Here is a 1,280-nt window from a genome sequence, read left to right as displayed (position 1 = left end):
TTTCCCATTCATTTTGGTGGTGATTATTTGGATTCTTTTTTTGATCAGATTTTATAATTTATCAATTTGATAAACATATTAGCATTGTCATTTTCTCTATTGCATTTTGTTGCTTTTTCACTAGTGTCTTCTATTTTACTTTTTTTCCTTTATGGTTTTTGTTTGGTTGATTTTCTTTTTGTAGCTTTTTGAGATGTGAATATAGTGCGTACATTTATTCAAAATTATAAAATTAAAAATATTAGAGATCTAACTAGCTAAATTTTTCAGTTCATTAAGGGAAGAGTAATTCTTTGGACTTTATTTTATTTTTTTTTTTTTGAGATGGAGTCTCGCTCTGTCGCCCAGGCTGGAGTGCGGTGGCGCGATCTCGGCTCACTGCAAGCTCTGCCTCCCGGGTTCACGCCATTCTCCTGCCTCAGCCTCCTGAGTAGCTGGGACTACAGGCGACCGCCACCACGCCTGGCTAAATTTTTTGTATTTTTTTAGTGGAGATGGGGTTTCACCGTGTTAGCCAGGATGGTCTCCATCTCCTGACCTCTTGATCTGTCCGCCTCGGTCGGCCGAAGTGCTGGGATTACAGGCGTGAGCCACCGCGCCCGGCCAGGGAAGAGTAATTCTTGAAAAATATGTATGTTACTTCACCAAGCTTCCACAGATTACAATTAGCATAGCCATTATGAAAAGTACTTTATCAAAATATTAAAGCTTTTCATATTTTGGTTAAGCAACATATGAAATAGAATAATTTTCTCATTCCATGTGAGAAATGTTAAAAAGATCATTGAAGATAGGACTTATCTAAGTTTCCATGGAGTCTATACTCCTGATCTGAAGTGTAAAATAGATGCAATGCTTAACAAAACTATATGGAGAAATATCAAACATCTGGGTTTGAGTTTATAAATCAAGGCCTATATTACAAAAGTGTGAATCATGGCTCAATTTAGAAAAAAACATGTAAAAGTTAAAAAAAAAGAATTATAGCTCTGCGCATAATTCTTTATTGACTAGCTGATGAGATAGTGTGAAAATGCCGTGAAAGCTCTGGGTGAAAATAACTAAGTATCTTTAAATAGAAAGATACCATCAAGCAAGTAGAAGATTCCTTTTCCTTGAAGTTTAAACACTTTTTTTCCGATTGGAAAGAAAAATGAAGAAAGAGATGTCAAATGGCATAGCTCTCATACAGAGGCAATGTTCATGTTTTAATTCTTACTTTTAGTTCTTTGCAAAAAATACATGTATACTTTTTAAAATTATATGACATACACACATTG

General features: G+C 35.0%; 1 annotated feature.

Moving 5' to 3' along the window:
* Positions 536-1,036: an enhancer, noted in NCBI's record as "H3K4me1 hESC enhancer chr13:56177964-56178464 (GRCh37/hg19 assembly coordinates)". NCBI's record gives its function as "activates a minimal SCP1, AML or CMV promoter by ChIP-STARR-seq in primed H9 embryonic stem cells {active_cell/tissue: H9 hESC(primed)}" and the evidence as "EXISTENCE:reporter gene assay evidence [ECO:0000049][PMID:30033119]".

The sequence above is a fragment of the Homo sapiens genome, chromosome 13 (assembly GCF_000001405.40).
Source record: "Homo sapiens chromosome 13, GRCh38.p14 Primary Assembly".
Taxonomy (NCBI): Eukaryota; Metazoa; Chordata; class Mammalia; order Primates; family Hominidae; genus Homo; species Homo sapiens.
This window is presented reverse-complemented; position numbering and strand designations above follow the sequence as displayed.